Source organism: Homo sapiens, chromosome 8 (assembly GCF_000001405.40).
Source record: "Homo sapiens chromosome 8, GRCh38.p14 Primary Assembly".
Lineage (NCBI taxonomy): Eukaryota > Metazoa > Chordata > Mammalia > Primates > Hominidae > Homo > Homo sapiens.
This window is the reverse complement of record NC_000008.11, coordinates 11,671,046-11,691,527: the sequence shown is the minus strand read 5'-3', so window position 1 is coordinate 11,691,527 and position 20,482 is coordinate 11,671,046. Positions and strand designations below refer to the sequence as shown.

Genomic DNA, 20,482 nt, shown 5'->3' with positions numbered 1-20,482 from the left:
TCTCGAAATCCAGCCTGGACAACATGGAGAAACCTCATCTTTAATAAGGAATAGAAAAACATAGCGGGTTGTGGTGGCACGTGCCTGTAGTCCCAGTTACCAGGAGGACTGAGGTGGGAAGATCATTTGAACCTGGGAGGTTGAGGCTGCAGTGAGCAGTGATGGCACCACTGCACGCCAGCCTGGGCAACAGAGTGAGGCCTTATCTCTTAGGGTGGGAACACCAGGATCCTAAGTCTGAACTCAATCTTAGCCATTCATAATGAATATGTTCAGTGAGGAACTAAAAATGGGAGGCCCATCTGAATATGCAAAATAAAAGGCTTGGATTGCAGATGAAAACTGGGATCCATTTACTAGGCAAACATTTACTGAGTAACACTGGACATTGCTATATGCCAGGCACAGCGCCAAGTATGCTGCGTGGATTGATTATCCACACAATCATTTATCCACACAGTCACTCTATTTCCTCCATTTTATAGATGAAGAAACCAAGGCACAAACTATTAAGTAACTTGCCCCGCTTATAAGGTGGTGGAGCCAAGACTTAAATTCAAGTAGGTTGACTGCAGAACTCAAAAACTGCTCCTCTGGGCAAGGCATTGGTATTGTGCAGGGTATCTTCTTACATAACCTTTTTTGTTTGAAGAGAGACAGACAGGGTGTTTCCCTTTCACCCAGGTTGGAGTGCAGTAGTGCAATCATAGTTCACTAGAGCCTCCAATTCCTGGGCTCAAGCGATCCTCCCACCTCGGCCTCCGGAGTAGCGAGGAGTACAGGTGCGCACCACCAGATCTGGCTATTTTGTTTGTTTGTTTGTAAAGACGGGGTCTCACTATGTTGACCAGGCTGTTCTGGAATTCCTGGCTGGAGTGACCCTCTCACTGCCCTCTTGCTTAACCTCCAGAAGTGCTGGGATTACAGCCCTGAGCCAGAGCCACCACACCAGGCCAGCTTTTTTTTGTTTTTTTAATTTCCATCCTTATTCCAGAATCAGTCTCTTTCCCCTTCTGTTTCTACAGCCTTTATCACACTGTATTTTAGTTTAACCTGTCTATACATCTGCCTCTCTATATACCTCTCTCTCCAAAATTTTAGTCTCCTTGAAGGCAGAAATCTTATATTTGACATCTTTGTATTTTCCAGTTTCTAACATATAGTAGACATTTTTTAAAAAAGTTTGCTGAATTGAATTTTAAAAAGTGGAGTTTCCACTTTGTCCTATTACAGTGTAAATCCCCATCCTTGATGACTGAAGATGTGGTATCAGGGCTGTGGCTGAGACACGGGCGCCATGGTCTCTTCCACTGTGTGCAAACACAGAGGCTCATGTGCGGAAGATGCCACGTGGCACCTCTTCACACCTTCATCCTCCATTGGTGGGTGATTATGGCACCAGGTACCTTTGGCCCGTTTATCAGTCCTGAGACAGCCTCTCTCTGACACTGATGTGGAGCCCTGGTATTGCAAGGGACTTCAAGGATTCTGGTCCAATCCACTCATTTTGCAGAAGAGGCAAGTAGTATCCAGACAGGGCTATAGAGCCACACACCTATTTACCAGCACAGCCAGGACAAGGTTCCCTGGCACCCTGGTTATATTCTGTTATCCATTTCAACATGCTACTATAGGAATTGATACCTCCCCTCTATACATTGACTCCTAAGGCCAAACTTCCCTCGCCCTGATGTAATCAGTAGGGTGAGAGGATCAGAGATAAGGCAGCCCTGGGCTCTCGGGCAGAGCCTAGAAGTCTGGCAGCCTGGTTAGAGCTGCTGCCCACACCCCTTGCAGGGCACTGGAAACAGTGACCCTGGCCCAGCCAAGGGTGGGGGTGGGTGAGGGCTTGAGGATGAGGTAAAGGGAGGTCATAGACATTCAAAACCGCAGTCATTCCATGCACTACTTAGAGTGGGGATAAACCAAGCCAAAATGGGCACCAGGCACATATTGCACCTCTAGGCTGAATATCTTCCTAATGGTCTTGTGGACTCAGCCTTCAAAATAAACAAAAGAAGGTAGCCAAGTGTGTGTGGGGCATAATGGGTGGGTCCTTGTTCTGATTCTCATTGTTTATTGGGGGTGATCCAATGTCCTGGATGCCTGAAACAGGTCAGGTGCATGCTGCTGTTCTGGGTAATCATCAGTGATATACACATTCACTTATAATTTTGCATAAATTATGTGGTCACTCTATGTATAAGTCATTTGAATTTGCTGAGCCTCAGTTTCCCAATATCCCAAGTAAAGGATTTTGAGTGAATGTCTTCCCATTTCTTTTTACACTGGAAAATGCTTCAGTTTCACAGATGCAGGGCCCAGAAATAAGTGGTTACTGGCCTGAAGAAACAGGCCCCATCCCTGGGGAGGGACAGTGAATTGACCCATGGGAGGTTCCAGAAGTCGTCTTGCAGCTTCTTGTCTGGGCAGCTAAGAGCAAAGTCGCTTATTGGATTTGCCGCTGCTTTGTTATTTATATTGAACTTTGGGTCTCAGGTCCACCACTGGAAGACTGGGAGTGATAAAAATATAAGGTAAACCGACCTTTCTGAATAACACATGAGAATTCATTAGTGCTCACCTCCCAAATAAATCATCTGTTGATTTTATTCATTTTCTGCAGACATTACAAATATTATAACTGCTATTGCCCCCATTGTTCCCTCACCCATCTCTCCACCAGTTTGTGCTTCAGGGGATTTGGGGATTAGGTTCTTAATTGGGGCCATCAATTCTTTGTCTTATTTTCTGCCTATGAATTTTCCTAACACTATTCTCATGAGAAAGATATGTCACTGGGGAGAAGGTTGAGGCAAGGCCACCTCCTCAATGTGTTCCTAGTTGTGGCTCCCCTAGTCACACCAGGCAATCTTTCCATTCCCTCCTGTCCCCATGCACACACTCCCCTGACACCCACTGACTCTGGGCATCACATAACGTCCCCACACAAAGATTTATAGGGTTGAGATTCAAGTGTGTGTGTGTGTGTGTGTGTGTGTGCATGCGCGCACGCGCATGCATGCATGTGTGCTTTATTTTGTCACCTCAGTAGGTTTAAAAAGTTCTTGATGGCTGGAATATCCTTTAGTAATTCTATAATCCCCTACAGTGGTCTGCACAGAGTAGGTACACAATACATACTCAAAAGAATGAATTAATGATTGAATATGTCTGAAGGTCAAATATAGAGCTCTGTATAAGAAATGTGCCTATTTCTGAAATGCAAAAAATGTTCCCAAGTATTATTCTTTTTCATATTTCAGGAGACCTCAGGCATAGACGCATTATAAATGTATAGCTTTGAAAATCAATTTGTTTTTCACTGTTTTGATCTCACGTGTGTGGGGGGCTCTTGAACTGCTATTTGCTTCACTTTATAACTTGCACCTTGGAAAGGCTGGATGATAAATGAGAGATGAATAATTCCTTATTGCTACTTATCTGCTGAATCTATAAACTGGTGTCAGCATTTACTCAGTTGGGTTTAAGCTGTGCCTGGTATACTTATTAACCTGCTTAAAATAAGCCATAAAAATGGGCTTGGTAGAAGGTACTTTTAACTAATTTTTAAAAATGACATTGGTCATTTTCCATGAACTCATGGAGTGACCTTTGGCAAATCACTCAACCTCATTGGGCAACACCTGCCAAATGAAACGGGGGCAGGGCTTGATCAGTTCTAGGAGCCTTGTAGCTGTGTAATTTTTTGATTTTTGGATGAGTAAGGGATCCCAATAAAACCTGTCAGAGCCATTACATATCAGCTCATGTAGACAATCTCCTGTATTCTTGGCTTTTCTCTGGAGGGTGAGGGAGGCAGCACTTGGTAGTTAGAGCAAGGCATTTTGAGTTCAATTCTGTTACTTATTAGTACTGTGACCTTTGGCTTTACAACATCTCTGAATCTCAGTTTTCTCATCTATAAAAAGGGGGAAATGGTCTAATAATACACCAGAGAGTTGCTGTGAGGTTCAAATGTGATGTATGTGATACCACTTTGATAAACCACAACAATTATTCATTGCCCCCAACTCACAGATGAGGGCACAGAGCTCTGTTTGGTTCAGCAGTTTGAAGCAGGGCCAAGAGGAGGATTGCTTGACCTCCCGGATTCTATTTTGATTACAGGTGGAGATTATTACAAAACTGTACAAAGATGGAGCACCTTGGATACTTCTCTGGATAATTCTCTGCGGGGGGAGGGTGGTCTATGGATGCCTAAAAAAAACTGTGCCTGAGGAGCCATTTCTGGGGATGCTAAATGGTACAGCGATAAGAAAAGCAGTCAACAACATACTGACCCACCCATCCCAGAATGCCTAGCTAGCAGAGAATGAAGCGTTTTTCAAAGGCAAGGGAAATCTCTTCCCTCCCAGCTGTGTCCTCCTCACTTCTCACATCTCTTGCTTTGGAAGGCATCCTCTGCACATCAAGAACACAGATGTCTGCTCAGGCTTTGGAGTTAATCCCCTTCCTAGAAAAGGGGCAGATTAAACAACTGTGGTTGAGGATTTTTTTTTTTTTTTTGAAACGGATTCTCACTCTGTCACCCAGGCCGGAGTGCAATGGCGCAATCTCGCTTCACTGCAACCTCCGCCTCCCGGGTTCAAGTGGTTTTCCTGCCTCAGCCTCCTGAGTAGCTGGGATTACAGGCGCGCCCCACCATGCCCAGGTAATTTTTGTATTTTTAGTAGAAACGGGGTTTCATCATGTTGGTCAGGCTGGTCTCGAACTCCTGACCTCGTGATCTGACCGCCTCGGCCTCCCAAAGTGCTGGGATTAGAGGCATGAGCTACTGCGCCCAGCCTGAGGATTTTGTTTGTAGAGAATTAAGTCAACAAGGGTGTCTGGAACTCACCCCTGCAAGAATCATCCTTCAGGAAAGTTCCTACCACTATGCCTGTGCAGTGTAGGGGGCTGGAAAATTACATGAAGATGGCTATGGTGCCTGTCTCGGCCTTGCTTGCCTTGTAGATGAAGAAGGGAAGAGATGAGCTTAGGAGGAGCTGCCTCCAGTCTTCAGAAAATTCTGTGATTTGCAAAAATTCTATTCACACTCCATTATCAACAAACACACCCACCCAACCAACGAAGGCCAACCTCAAAAATTTTTTTTAAATGTAGGACTTAGAGAAAGAAAATACCATTATTAAATGGTATTTTAAGTTTATATTTCATGCTATATTCAGAATGCAATTTATTTGCTATTTATTTGCTAATTAATAAAAGTGAAATTGGTCTTTATCTCGATGTTACTTTTATCTTCTGTTGACTGGGATGTGCTACATTAAGATTAAAAAAAAAAAAACAGACCCAGTACAAGATCTTTTGAAGGTCTCCTAAGTTTATGGTGGGATCTCACTTCTACTTGCTTTTGTGACCACTCTCCCCCAGCTCCATCCCACACCCTTCTTGTAAAGCAGGAGGAAGGCATCTGCTACTTGTTTCTCTACAAGTGCAAACTATTTCAGTTTCAAAACCGGAACCTGACATTTATTAAGAGCTGTCTTGTGATTCATTCAGTCTGCAGTCCTGTCCTCCGCTTTGGCTCTCTTGCCTTCAAACGGCCTTCCTTTCTGAACACCTGGCTTCTTGGCCACCAACAAAGCTCTGACTTTCCTCCCCACCAAGTCTCCTCCTTTTCTCCCTCCCTGAGGTCTGAATAATCAGCTTCTATTTGCAGCATCCCCCATCACTACCCCACACCTGGCCTCACATCCCACCACATCCTCCTGCCAGAAAAGGGAGTCGTGGAAGAGGGAAAAGTTACAAGAACTTAGATGATTGTTTTCAATTTCAGAAACACTCAAGGTTGCAAGTGAAATTCTGAGAAAATTTGGACCTGAAAACATTTTCTAAATGGGGAGGGGAATCTCTTCCTTGTGGAAAAATCACTCCTACCAACTGTGAACATCTCTAGCCTGGAATCAGGAGTCCAGGGCTGTTCTTGGAGTTTTGAGTCCATTGAGTTTTGGGGACCCTAAAACTGAATTCTCTGGAACAAATGATTTGCTACGAAAGCGCACCAGTCATAAACATCGTAGGAAGCCTGAAGAAGGCTGACATGTCTTGGATCTGGCCAATCTTCCTCACCTCTCTCAAAATATTTGTTTATTCTGCTTTCAAATAAACACGAGTTTGTCATAGTCCATTTGGAAATACAGAAAAGTATAACGGGGACAACCAAATCCATCCTTAGCCACATTAGGCAGAAAGAATTGGAAACATTAGTCTTCTCTCTTCTCTTTCTCGACTGTGGTAGAAGTGTTTCACAATCTACTTTTTCTTTCTTAAGAATCGAGACTTCCCATGTCATTGAATATCTTAAGAAAACATAATTTAATGATCGTGTAATGGATTTAGTATAGTTCATGTAAGTAAACTCTTATTGTTTAGAGTTTAGGTTATTTTCTGTTTTTCACCTCAATTCATAATGTTTGGTGCGTCCTTGTCAAATTATAAACTTTGCTAAGTAAAGCATCTTGTGAATCTCTGATTATTTCCTGAGGGTAAATTTCTATTACCAGAAAAAGTGGGTCAAAGAATATGACCACTTTTTGGGTTTTGAATATCTATTGCCAAATTGCCTTTCGGAAAGGTTAACTCACACAATTTCCACAACCACCAGCAGCAGTCAATTTTGGCTAAGCTAAATAAAAAACATATTTATCAGTGTGTCAGATAAATTTCTACCTCTCAGTAGATGTATTTAATTTCTGAAGAGTTTTGAAGTAATAGGTTAAGAAACAAAACACACAAAGCCAAACAAAAACAAGGAGAACATTAGCATCCAGCTGAACACATGATTATGTCAGGGATTAGGGCAGTCTTTCCGTCCTCTAAGGTTTATAAAGATTTTAAAATATAAGAAACTGAAACACAGAAGCGTTAAGTAATTTGACCAAGAAAACACAGCCAGTGAGTGGAGGAGATGGAATTCAAATCACAACATTCTAATACTGGAGTCTAAACTCTTACACTGACCTAGGGACGATGTACATTTAGGATCTAAACAAATCTAAAAGGTTTCCAGAACATTCTTTGTAATGAGTTTATGGTTCAGAAATTGGCTTTTGTGAACACAGACTATAAGGAGAAATTTTATCTTTGAAAAAGATGTCATTTTCAACTTTTGAGAAGCACATTCCTGCACCTTATTTTTAGACTATGCTAGAAATAGAAGTGAAATAACTTACTCAAGGTCACCCAGCTTGTAGGTGTTTGTGTGGGAACTAGAATCTAGAATCTAGGCTCTGGCAATTCTTTGGCTACTCCCTGTAGTGTTTTCTCTCACCTGGCAGCAAATATCCACCATAACATCAGAGGAAGGTTGGCTTGACTAAGGCCCACAGCGTCTTCAGGTTTCAGGGGCTTTAGTTTCTAGCAGCTCAGGGATCTCCATCACCAGGGCAAGGCTGAAGGGAGCCATGGCACAGCCCAGGTCGTGGCCAGCCAGTTATGGCTGAGGACATGGGTTGCCCTGGGCAGGGGAACTCTTACTTTTGGGGCATAAACCCGGAGACTTGGGAGTCACAGTAGCATTAAGGGCTCAGCAGTCCAAGTTTAGGTGTGGGCAGGCTAAGACCATTTTCTCCCAGGGAAATTCTTTCCCGTTCACAGAGCCAGTTTCAAATGGGAAGCCCACCCGGGAGCTGTAGTTTCCTGAGCTGGCAGAGAGTACAGGTAGGGGCCTGGCCCAGGCATTGTGGGGAGGGATTCCTGCACTGAATGGAAGGCTGGCTAGATAACCTCTGGGGCCCTTCCAACGCCAAACATCTCCGATTTGTGTGTCTTGGGGCAAACAAGTGAGCAGTTGCGGGACTGAAATAGTTGATTTAGGGTCCCGCCCCAGTCTCCGGCTTTAGTCCTCATCTTGGGCAAATAATTTAACCTGTCAGTACAAGGCATAACGCCCAGCGCAGAGGAAAGCTTGGTAAATGTTTGCCGAATGAATGAATGAAAGAATGGGGGGATGGATTTAGTCTACCTAGTCTCAAGGAATACGGTGAAAGTTGGAATCGAACCGCGCCCCTTGATGGGTGAGTTTGAATGAGACAATGTAAAGCTCATTGAACTTCTTAAAAGAAAAAAAACGATACCTCCAACCCAAAAGGATTCTGCTACTTCCTAACAGTCACAATGGGTAGAATTACTATTTACCGGCATCAGCAAGCATAATACGCAGTGGTGAGTTTTGATTTAGCACAAAACTCTCTGATTAATCCCCCTGCCACCTGTGGGGCAGCTCTGCGCCTCCCAGGGCCAGGTGGAGCACGCCAGCCCCGTCCCTCCGTCCTCCCCCGCTCCGGATAAATGCTGAGGTCTAATGGATTGTTCCTGCTGCTGTCCAGATTAGATAGCGAGCCCCTCCATTATCTCTGCTGGAGCAAACCCCAGTGGCCACCACACCAAGAGCTTTCCAAGGCAATCCGGCGAGAAGGCTGGGAAAACCTAGGGGGTAAGAGACACCAGAGAGCTGTCGAGAAACCCCCGCGCACCGAGGCTGTTTCCACCTCAAGACTCTTCCCAGAACTTTCTCTGAACCCAGTATCTTGTCCCCACACCCATAGCATTTAACAAAGCAGGTCCCCGGTGTGGAAACTAGCTACTACCTACCGAATTCTCCGGAGTAGTTCTAAGAGGGTAACTGTTAGATTCTGTGTCAACCTCTGAGAAGTGAGAAGGACTATTGGACCACACTCCCTCCCCACATCGCCACGGCCAAGAGGTGTTTTTGCACAAACGGGGACTACTACGTCTGACCAGTAGGATAGTAACTTTCCAAATTTTTGTTGTTCTGCAATCATTGCAGAGGAGACATAGCTGACTTTCACATCTTCCTTCTGAATTTCTCATGGTCAAGTTTTTCCCCGTTAAAAATTTTGTTTCTTCAAGGAAAGTTTTGTTAGAATTTTTTTTTAAGAGTTAAAGCTTTCTTTAAGTTTCTTGAAGGGAAAAAAACTTCTTACAAGCAAAATCTTGTCTCTGTTTTGTTGGAAATGAAAAGCATCTACTATCTATCAGCACTATTCTATGAAATAAAATTCTCATGTATGATCTAACAACAAATTCTACCTAAAACAAATAATAAGCACTCGAAATCATTATTTATCTACAAAAAAGACGAATTGTTCTATCATTATTATGATAGCACTACTGTGATCTAACAGAAAGCAAATAAAATCTTAGCTAGTGAACAAGGCAAAGTTATCTATTTCTACCATATCAGTTTCCTGTTCAATCTTTAGAGTTAGTGGAAGCTACAAATAAACGATGTAGCAGGAGAAGCCATCCGACACCGTTTTAAAAGATTCTACATTTAAGAAATTCTGCATCGTTTTTGAGTGAATCAATCTTGTCAGACACCACCTAGTGCTTGGAAAATTATTTAAAATGTGCCATTAGTTAGAGGTAAAAACCTAAGAAATTTATTAAAGGCAAATAAAATAGCTACTGTGCAGTTTAATATCCAGAAATTAAAATAATTCACAGACAAGAAGCCTTTTGATTCATGAAACAAAACATCTTTATCGAGTAACTTCTGTAGACAAACATCAGAATGAATAAAAACGAATTTATTGTGAGGGGCAAGGATCTCAGATTGAGGTGGGAAGAGACCCAGGCAGACGCAGACCACATCTGAAGGCGCAGAGTATGCCAGGGAAAAGCTGCAGTCCTTACATCAGCCGGGTCTGCCCACGGCCAAGAACAGCGGGAAAGAAGACAGGCAGGCAAGGAGAAAAGAAGAACGAATGCTGTGGGCAAAGAACAAAGTAAGCGGGGAGAATTTTGATTAAGCAAGAAAAGGAAACTTTGCAACAGAATTAAGGAAAAAGAGAGAAATGAAGAGAGAAAGGGGATGAAAAAAGGCAAGGAGGAGACAAGAAACGTTCACAAGACAATAGTAAACCAATAAATAAAATTGTTAAGAACAGCGAGTGGGGTGGAGGAGGGAGAAATTATATTCAGTATCTAAAGAAACAACAGCAGCCGTTCCCGAGAGGGACCGACCCCATCCCCCCCCCCCCCCCCGCGAGCGCCGCACCCCGCGCGGGGACCGGGCCCCGGATTCCGGCGTCTGCGCGGGGATCGTAGCTACGGCCCCCGAGTTGAGCCACGCGTGATCCCGGAAGGGTCTGCCAGGAGTTTTTATGAGACCTAGGGGGACGAGTGCTGGAAATTTGATGGGTTGGGGCGCAGGTCGAGAAGTGGTGAAGACAGTGCTCTTCCCCGGAACCTCAGCGTGCGGAGGCCTGGGAATCCAGTCGCTCCCAGACGAGCTGTAAGTCCCCAAACGTCGAGAAATCTCTGCCTCCAGATCCCGCGCGGGCCAGGGCCTGTGACTAACCCCCGAAGGTTCTGCGAACAGAACGGAGCTGGAGATTCCCTGGGCTCGGTTTTCCGGACCACGAACCCTGCGAGCCTGGGGCGCCACCCATGCCCCTCAATGTCCCTCCAAATCCGGCCAGAGAAGGAAGGCATTAGATCTGTGCTTTGCAGCCTGGGGTATGGGATTCGGGGGTGCGGGGTCTCTCTGCAGGGGGATATTGAGATACCAGCAGCCTAACCTGGGGGACACAGTGACCATTTTGATGAAACACCTACTGTGATCCTTGGCCTCTTTAGGGGTCTCACACAGGGGGTCGCAACTGAGAAGAAATGGGTCAGGGGCTTCGCTATGTGTCTTGCTGCCCAGAGCGTGGGGACCGAGGCGTCGGGGTGAGCAGGGCGAGGGGCGGGTGAGCACCTCGCATCTGGAGAGGGGTGCGCAGAAGCCGGGCTCTCCTCGCCGCCCAGGGTATCCGTGCGCAGCGGCTGGAGGATTCCGGTCTCCCCAAGGGGGGGGTCTCTGACGCAAAGGGCGACCCGAGACACGTTCCCAGCAGCGCCAGGCGTGGCAAGAGGTCACGCCACCGACCGCCGCTCGGACCCGGCTGGGCATAGCCTGGGCTTCCTGGCCCACCAGCGTGCGACCACGAAGGACGTCGGCGCGACACCCGTCCGAGGTGACCTGGCCCATGTGGCGCCAGATTGATCGAAATGCATCCAAAGCAAACCGGCTTCGGCCTTGCCAGGAACGGAGAGGCGATGAGAGGGAGCTCCTCAGCCTCGTGGGCCGAGGGCGGGAAAGTGGCAATGAATCCGAGGGGCCTGGTTAGTTACTTGCAGAGATTCCCCGGCTCCAGGGCCCGTTGTCGCGCCTGTCCGCGGGGATCTTCCGAGCCTCGCGCTGCTGAAGTAGCCTGCTCCACCGGCACCGCCTGGTCTCCCGCCTGCCCACTCAGGCTTTGCACCAAAGATTGAGCCGGGGGTCGGGACATTCCGGACGTTAAGCGGCCCCAGAGCGGCCTAGGTGGGAGCGGCGTCATTTACAGGCGCGCGTTATGTTTTCCCCGCGGGCTGCGCGCTCTGGGTGGGAATCTCTCTTGGGAAGACCTTCTCCGGCGGGAAGTCCTTTAGCAACTGGTCCAAGCCCCCTGGCAGGAGACCCCGGCGATGTGACTTTGAGCTGATTAACTTCTCCCAATCTTTCTTTCTTCTCATCATGCGGGGAGTGGGAGAAACAAAACCCCAGTGCAAAAAGAGTTTGTAAACTATTCGGCGACACACAACAGGGATTAAAATTCATGGCCAGTTAACAATACTGTTACCCTCTTCCTCATTTTCCCCTCTTAGGGACACTTCTCTATCTGTTGCTGGTGTCTCTGAGGCTTCTGCGTTTCCATTATTCGGGGGTCTCCATCTCCCTCCCGATCCCAACCTCGCCCCTGTAAAAATGTCACTTTCCGTTCGCTTTTCCAACCTCAGTGCAGGGCTAGGACTGTTCGCCCAGCACCCGGCCCACTCAGGGCTCGCCGGGATACTTTTAAGGCCGCGGGTGCTTGGCTGCCCTGGGGTCGGGCAGGTGGGGGGCCCAGGCCGCGCGCCCAGCTCCTCTCCCCGGCTGCGCGCCCCGCAAGCGGCCCAGGGCTCGGACCCCAGCAGTCGGGGTTCCTTTTCATTCCGCCGCCAGCCTGAGAGGGCTCCACTCTCCTCTCCTCCCGGCCCTCGGCCCAAGCCTGACGCCGCCTGGTTTATTGACCTTAGATCGGCTTCGGGGCTTTATCAGACCCGGCTGGGGCGTCCCGCGGCGCACGCCCTCCACCTACAGTCGTGCGGCGCGAGCCCCCTTTAAGTTTCTTCTAGAAACGTCCCCTTCCTCCCCCATCCCCGAGTCTGAGAACCTTCAGAAAAATTGCCCGAATTCGCGCGACCGTGGAGATCCGAGGCAGGGCCTTCAGGGCCACTGACATTCTCCTGTGTCGCTCTTTTATCTAGATAATTCAGGCGAAAGTGCCCCCCCCCGCAATTATTCGGATAATTGCCTCGAATCTCCACTTCGTGTAGTGTTTAGACAATTGGAGATTGATGGCTTGAATTTAACCCTAAAACCTCTCCTCTCCTCTGCTCCAAGCTCTAAAATATCTCTGAACTTTACACACGCAAACTATAATTTTCTGTCCTATAAATCACTTGGCAAATATAACAAGACATTAGAAAGCTATTTGAAATGGATATTTTATTATACTTGAGACTAGACCAGGGAGAAAGAGTAATTTATAAACACTTCCTCAATACTAAGCACACAAAATTGTTTTTAAGGCTCCCCCCTAATCGAACTTGAGAATGCAAAATCACTTTCAGAGACAAATTCTTAGAAGAAAAAGGAAATTTGTGGCAATGATTATGTCACTAAAAATGAACTCTGAAAAAAAATAGTTCATAAAGTGGGACTTTCAAGTATCCTTTACTGTAGACCGATTTATCAAAATGAGACCAGCAGAAACAAAACATTTGCTAGTACTACAAATACTACAACAACTACTGCTACTACTACTTAAAAAGCCAATCCAATTTTGTGATGATAAATCACAGGATTCTAGCCACCTTACATAATACGGCTTTCCCTTAACTCAGATTGGCCCGTCCCTGCTTTTCCCACTAAAACCCTTTCAATTTCCCTTATTTTTGGACAGCGTACAGAAGAGCAGGAATATCAGCCCTGGGAAAACATTAGCAAGGGTAAGCAAGCCAGAGAGTTGGGCAGGGGAAAGATAAGCAATGCAGATGATTGTAAGTTTTGTGACAGCTTTTCAAATCACCCCCTGGAAGCCGGTGGGGCTGCTGGAGATGGAAAGATAGTCAAAGGGAACAATTTTCTGTTCTCTGCTTCACAAAGCTAATATTTGTAATAGGTACACCAGGACTGAGAGGCTTTGCCCTCAATCCTACCCAATTCCAGAAGAGCGCTTGCTGGGTCCTCCTGAGGCTACAGAGTGAACAAATGGTGTTGTCTGCTTTCAACCTGCGAGCATGTGGACTAGGCACAGGAAACTTGGTAGGTTTCAAACTCTCAGAGCCTTGGTTATGACACTGACCCGTGCCTTCTCAAAGCTGCACTCCTTCTCAAAGCTGTCACTCCTATTTATTATTATTATTATTATTATTATTATTATTATTATTATTATTATTTTGACTCAGCCCTTTTCTCAGCTACAAATCAGATTTAAGGCTCATTTGCCCAGACTTTGGCTTTGTAGGAAGTAGAGGTAATTTCGACTTGTATGCAAAAGCGTGTGCAACCAAAAGCATTAGCCACCAAGCTCTGCAACGCACGCAGTGGGCCTGGGGAAGAAAACTACGAGCTCTGTGGTCCACCTGCAAAACCCACCCCCACGCCTCCTTCCCATCTCAGGTCTGGCTCCAGAATAATCGGAAATTAAACCCTATACCAAGCCTGGCTGACCCTTGATCTGCGAATAGGCAAAGAAAAGTATCCGACTCTGAGAGCTCTGAGACCTAGCTACTAACTAATGAAGCCAAGCGATGGGAAACAGCACAGACTTTCTGACCCCAAAAGCAAAGTGGGCTGGGTCTGACATGGGCCAGGTTTGCCTGAAGTTTCCAAGGGCGTTCTTAAGAGGACACCAAGGGCTGCGGGGGACCCCAGGGGATTTGGGTGTTCTGGAGGAAGCAGAGGCCAGATGGTCCTGGGATACCTGGTCAGATCCATTTGATTTCTGGTGTGTATGTATTTATTTAGGTTTTTCCTGAGACACCAGGCACCCCTCTCCATTTCCAGTTGTTGGAGTGGGAAGCTGAATCGGGAAATAGAGAAACTAAAATGCCACCTCAGTGGAAGAAGGAGGGACACAGAAAGAAAGTGGGAAGGAAGCCCGGCGTCTGCGGCCTGGCCTTCACAGAGCCTCATCCTTCCTTCCTGTCCGCAAAGGCCTCAAAGCCTCTCCACAGCCTCCGCCTCGGCCCCACGCTGGGGAAGCCTTCCCCTCCCCTCCCCCACCTCCCTCTCCCCACAGCTGGAGATTGTGGTGAGCAAGGAGACTCCCCAAGCCTTCCATTCCCCCAGCATCCCAGCCTCCCACGGCAGAGGGGTCACCAGGAGGGCCAGGAGGGGACTCACCCGCGGTGGGGAGCGGCGTCCCTGCGGCTGCTCAAGGCCTGGTGTGAGGCAAACTCTGCACAGGGATTCCAGGCTGTTCTCAGCCGGGTGGGAGGGAGACGTTGTGAGCCGTGTCTCCCAGCTCCCTCTGAGCTCCCAGCTTCCTTCTCAGAATTAGATAACAGGAAAAATAGATAAGAGAAGTGGTTCATTAATTCAGCAAGCCTCTTTTTTTTTTTTGGTGTGTGTAAAAGTGGAAGGAAACTCTGCTAGGGAATGAAGTTCTGGCTGGACAGTTTTAAAAAAGTCAGTGTTCACAAGGTTACAGAGATGCTTCTGGAAGGTCACTCAGAAGGACCCAAGGAATCGCCGTTCATGGGGAGAAATGCTCAGTTCACCGTATGTGCTTCCTGCACCCCAAGACTCCTCTCAGACTCTAGTCTTGCCTTTAGATTGAGGTAGGGAGGGCTGCTTTGTGGCATTTGCTTATGTTGTGCGATCGCCCTCTGGGCATGGGATAATAGTAACAGCAGCGCAGCTCCTCCTAGCATGCCAATTACAAATTACAATTTTTTCCAAGTACTGCTATAACAGCATTTCTGAGCTCCTTACAATAGGGTCAAGCAGGCAGATGCTATATTATTAACCTAGATGAGGTAACCGGCTCAGAGAGGTTAGGAATCTGCCTGTGGTCAAGTCACACAGCAAGAAAGAAATGGAGCCGGTACTGAACTTCAAATTAAAGAAATCCATGGCTTCTTAGAATAGGAAGAGACCTCAGAATTCCAAGCTCCTGCTTAAATCAGGAATTCCCTCCAAGGCGATTATCCGTACTCTACTTGAATACTCTTGGTGATGGGGAGCTCATTCTCTGCGTGCCATGGGCGTGCAGCTCTGCTGACCACCACACTTTCCTGCTTCCCAAATGACCCAGCATTGCAGGGCTGGGAACACAGGCACAGGGAGCTGCCGCTGTCATGTGATTTGAGGAACCGGGCAAACAGATCTCCCTTGACAGGTCTGCTGCGGAATTCCCTGCTCTCCTGCCTGGTTTTATTTTGGGAAGTTGTCCCTGTTGGGAGTTGGTATCTCGCAAAGGCAGTTTGGAGGAAAGGAAGAAACACAATACCTTTCTATTTTAACATATTTCCCAGTTCACAGTCTCACGGGATCCTTAGAACTATCTCTGCAAGGTAGGGAGAAACCGAATAAGTTAATATTTTTTTCCAAATGTAGGCCAGGATGCTGAGCTTGGTGGCTCACACCTGTGGTTCCAGCACTCTGGGAGACTAAGGCAGGCAGATCACTTGAGGTCGGGAGTTCGACACCAGACTGGCCAACGTGGCAAAACCCTATCTCTACTAAAAATGCAAAAAATTAGCCGAGTGTGGTGGCGGGTGCCTGTAATCCCATCTACTGAGGAGGCTGAGGCAGGAGAATAGCTTGAACCTGGGAGGCAGAGGTTGCAGTGAGCTGAGATCGAGATCATGCCACTGCACTTCAGCCTGGGTGACAGAGTGAGATCCCATCTCAAAACAAACAAACAAACAAACAACAAAAACAAAAAACAAATGTAGGCCAGGAAACTGAAACAGAAAAGGTAAGTGAACTGCCAGAAATCAAAGAGTAAAGGTAAGGTCATATGGTGGGAACAGAACTAGAGAGGTGAATCAGGCTGGGAAGAGAGAGGAAAAATATGAAGGAAACATGAATATTTTTTCCCTTCCAAGAATTTTTGGTTTTGAATATTTTTGCAAATGATGAATAAAGTGTCCTTTATTGTTATCTGTCTTTATACTCTTCCCCTGCCAAATGACTCGTAGAAACTAGGCTTCAGGAAGATTTTAGTGTAAAGCTCCCTGTGGTGTCAGATCATTAAAATTCCTGACGCATGAGCCCAACAGTACAAGGCACAGATGCAGAGGCCAGGGCCAGGCCTTGTCTTTCCAGGGGCCCTGTCATTTACACCAGGGAGGAGCCTTGTTCACTTGTAGCTTTCCCTTATGGAGTTGTTTTTTTTTGTTTGTTTGTTTGTTTGTTTTTCTAGACAGAGTCTCGCACTCTCGCCCAGGCTGGAGTGCAGCGGCAGGATCTCGGCTCACTGCAAGCTCCGCCTCCCGGATTCATGCCATTCTCCTGCCTCAGCCTCCCAAGTAGGTGGGACCACAGGCGCCCGCCACCACGCCCGGCTAATTTTTTTGTATTGTTAGTAGAGACAGGGTTTCACCGTGTTAGCCAGGATGGTCTCAATCTCCTGACCTTGTAATGCGCCCGCCTCGGCCTCCCAAAGTGCTGGGATTACAGGCATGAGCCACCGCGCCCGGCCTTATGGAGTTATTTTTATTACTTATGATTATTATGGTAAAATACGCATACTACAAAATTTGCCACATGAACCTTTTTAATTTTATTTCATTTTATTTTTTTGAGTCAGAGTTTCGCTCTTCTCACCCAGGCTGGAGTGCAGTGGCCTGATGTCCGCTCACTGCAACCTCTTCTGCCTCCCAGTTTCAAGCAGTTCTCTTGTCTCAGCCTTCCAACACTTTAACCGTGGTTTTTTTTTTTTTTAAACTTGCTCTGTAGCCCAGGCTGGAGTGCAGTGGTGTGATCTTGGCTCACTGCAACCTCTGCCTCCCAAGTCCCGGTTCAAGCAATTCTCCTGCTTCAGCCTCTCCAGTAGCTGGGATTATAGGCACGCACCACTATCTCCAGCTAATTTTTGTATTTTTCTTGTTAGCCAGGATGGTCTCAATCCCCTGACTTAGTGATTCGCCTGCCTCGGCCTCCCAAAGTGCTGGGATTACTGGAGTGAGCCACCGCGCCCGGCCCCACTGTAACCGTTTTTAAGGGTACACGTCCATAGTATTAGGTACATTCACATTGTTGTACAACTACCACCACTTCCATCTCCGGAACATTTTCAGCTTTCCAAACAGAAACCCTGCACCTATTAGCACTAATTCTCCATTCCCCTCTTTCCCATAACCTCTGGTAACCGCCCTCAACTTTCTGTCTCCATGAATGTGACTCCTCTAGGTACCTCCTATAAGTGGAATCATACAGTACGTACTCCTTTGTGGCTGGCTTATTTCACTTGGCATCCTGTCCTCAAGCTTCATCCATGTTGTAGCAGGGGCCAGAATTTCCCTCCTTTTTAAGACCAAGTGATACTCCATTGCACACAAAGACTGTATTTTGTTTATCCATTCATCTGTTGATGGGCATTTGGGTTGTTTTCACCTTTTGGTTACTGTGAATATTTCTGCCATAAACACAGGCGTGCGAATGTCTGTTTTAGTTGCTGCTTTCAATTCTTCTGGGTATATCCTTAGAAGGGGGATTGCCAGCTCACATGGACCTATCTATGTGCAAGTTTTTTGAGGAATTGCCATACCATTTTCTACCTGTTATGGAGTTTTGACCCAAAATTTAGAGAGGAGGTCTCCATCATCCTCTTTATGTAGCAGGTAACTGGGAGCAGCAGCATCCACTTATCCCAGTTTGGGTCATATTCACGGGCAGATTGCCCTGCCTGCTGCAAAGTTCTGTGAGAGAGTGATGTGCAGTAAGGAAGAAGGTGAAACATGAAGTTCTCTTGAGAATTGCACTGGAGCAGAGAGAACACTCACTTCTTTATTAAAAAATTAGGAAGCATAACTTCCAGCGTTGTGGTACAGTAACAAGAGCACCTGTGTTTGACCTTCACCTCTGACATCCCACTGCCTCCCTCCTCCACATGTGCCTACAAGAATCTGGGGACCTCATGGCATTATTATTGAGGCCAGCAATGTCCAGGAAAAGTATTCAAGTCCTAGAGAACACACTTTTGTGTTCCAAAATTGAAAAAATAAAAGGAATCATGGGAGTGTTAGAGAACCGTCAGGTATTTTTATTTCTCCCTACTTTTCTGAATTGTTTCTTGTGAGGTGAAAGGAAGCCCATTTTTGTCCCCCATGGTTTCAGATTTTCCAGGGGTTTTATATATTTTGGGGAACCTAAAACTCCACTGTTCTGAGGCCTAGCTCAGGGCGTTATGCCAGCCCAGGGCAGCATGAGTCTTTCCCTGGGAAAAATTCTAATGAAGCCCAGTGGCCACTACTGCCCGGGATGGTGGAGAATGGGGCCAGGACACAGGACCCAGGGAACCCAGGCGTCATGAGCGAAGCCACCTGCTGTGACTCCTGAGTGTCCTTGTCCTGGGCAGAGGCTGGTGTGCCTCTGTGCTCCCACGTTTGTCCTGTTGAGTCAGGGGGGCCACCAGAGATGATGAGGATGATGTGACTGCTGATAACACCAGCCCAAACTCCAAAAATCACTTGGAATCCAGACCAGGGAGAGGGCCAGAGAGAGACTTTCTGGGGAGCACCTCGGCCTTGAGGCCTGCTGTCCCTGTTCTTTAAACTGAGTGTTTACACACACACATACATGCGGGCATGCACGTGCACAAAATTTTTATTAGTTTTTCTTATCAAGGTGTTACATATTTATTGCTGAACTTAAAACTACTGTATTTTATTTTTTATTTTTAGAGAAAGTCTCTCTCTGTTGCCCAGGCTGGAGTGCAGTGGCATGATCATAGCTCACTGAAGCCTTGAACCCCTGGCCTCAAGCAGTCGTCCCCCTCGGCCTCCCAAACTCCTGGGATTATAGGCATGAGCCATTGCGTCCTGCCCAAAAGTACTGCAGAAGGTAGAGAACAACAGTCTTCTGACCATCTGCCATTTCCCCGTCCGCAGCCAACTCTTCTATTCCGACTTCGCATCTGAGGACTGTCCTTTTCCTGAGGTGTTTGACATTAAGCATGTGATTACGAGACAGTCTCCAGAAATTACATTTCTTTCTCTAGTGTAGCAAATGAATGAACATCTTTAATCCTCAGTTTTCAAATCTGTAAAGTGAGTGCAATAATAATACTTATCTCATAGGGTCCTTGCCAAGGTTAAAATGAGATAACCATATGAGAATCACTTAGTGTGATGCCTGGTGCTGAAAACAACTAGCTATTACTACCACTGCTAATATTATTAGTAGCTGTGGGCAAAAGGATTCTTGCATTCAGCCTGGTGACGCTGCTCTAGCCACCTAGACTGACTTGTGTTTAAGGCAGAAAACCAAAACCTGTGGACAGCTGCCTGCTGAGTGTTCACGAGCTGTGGCTGCTCCAGGCCCAGGAGCTGAGGGCTATGCAGTGCTCAGTAGGCAGCTTCTCCCATCGTGGCGACAGAACTGCTGGAAAGAGTGTCCCCTTGGGACTAGGAAGCCCTAAGTGATGAACTGCCGGTGAGTGGCACTTTATTTGCACCTGAGTCTCCAGAAGAGCTAAGGGACCCTGGAGTTACCTGAAGTCCCCACAGCATGGGCAGAAGTGAGAATAATTTGAAACCAAGTGGACTGATGGACCAGGCTCCGACTGAACCTCTACATTTCCTTCCTGCAATGAGTGATGCTCCCTGTTCCAGCCTGTTAGGCTTCCACTGTTACAAAATGAGATAGAATTCACATAGCATCAATTTACCCTTCAAAAATGTATGAGTCAGTGGTTTTTAGTATCGCACAAGGTTATGCAACCATCTGTTATGCAATGGTTATGCAATACTGATGTATTGAAATCTTAACATTTTCATCCCCCAAGTCTGCAATTTGATTGGATTCAGTAAATGTTTACTGGAAGTTTCTTGTGTAAAATCCCACGTATTGTAGTTAGTGTGCTCCTTGGAGTTTGGCTGGCCCAGCTCCATGCTGGCTCACTTTTTTTGGTCCACGTCTGCAACTGAGCCACACTCCCTCCCTCTGGCTTGACACATTAACATTGAACTGGGACATTGGTGAACTGGGACTGTCTTGATCAATGACCACCATTTCTTGGGCTCTCCCAGTAGCAGGCACTGTGCTAAGCCCTCTGTGTGCATTCTCTCTTATTATCTAATTTTACAAGAAAGCCTAGAACTGAGGTCTTCTGGCTTCCACTCTCATATTCTTGTGGCTGGGCACAGTGACTCAAGCCTGTAATCCCAGCACTTTGGGAGGCCAGAGTAGAAG

The 20,482-nt window shown here is 46.7% G+C and overlaps 1 protein-coding gene across 1 annotated transcript in view, besides 3 other annotated features; it reads right to left on the bottom strand.

The window, feature by feature from the left end:
* The window catches only part of GATA4 (GATA binding protein 4), an 83,068-nt gene extending 68,475 nt beyond the window's left edge, over positions 1–14,593 (bottom strand). The window contains exon 1 of the mRNA NM_001308094.2: positions 14,465–14,593. The gene's annotated coding sequence lies outside the window, so the exon portion shown is untranslated. The remainder of the gene's footprint in view (positions 1–14,464) is intronic.
* Positions 16,078–16,600: an enhancer, noted in NCBI's record as "H3K4me1 hESC enhancer chr8:11532437-11532959 (GRCh37/hg19 assembly coordinates)". NCBI's record gives its function as "activates a minimal SCP1, AML or CMV promoter by ChIP-STARR-seq in naive H9 embryonic stem cells {active_cell/tissue: H9 hESC(naive)}" and the evidence as "EXISTENCE:reporter gene assay evidence [ECO:0000049][PMID:30033119]".
* Positions 16,174–16,468: an enhancer, noted in NCBI's record as "tiled region #1846; HepG2 Activating non-DNase unmatched - State 21:Repr". NCBI's record gives its function as "activates a minimal TATA promoter and a strong SV40 promoter by Sharpr-MPRA in HepG2 cells {active_cell/tissue: HepG2}" and the evidence as "EXISTENCE:reporter gene assay evidence [ECO:0000049][PMID:27701403]".
* Positions 18,419–18,613: a silencer, noted in NCBI's record as "fragment chr8:11530424-11530618 (GRCh37/hg19 assembly coordinates)". NCBI's record gives its function as "represses an EF-1alpha promoter that drives an FKBP-Casp9 reporter gene in an ReSE screen in phorbol 12-myristate 13-acetate-treated (for megakaryocytic differentiation) K562 erythroleukemia cells {active_cell/tissue: K562(+PMA)}" and the evidence as "EXISTENCE:reporter gene assay evidence [ECO:0000049][PMID:32094911]".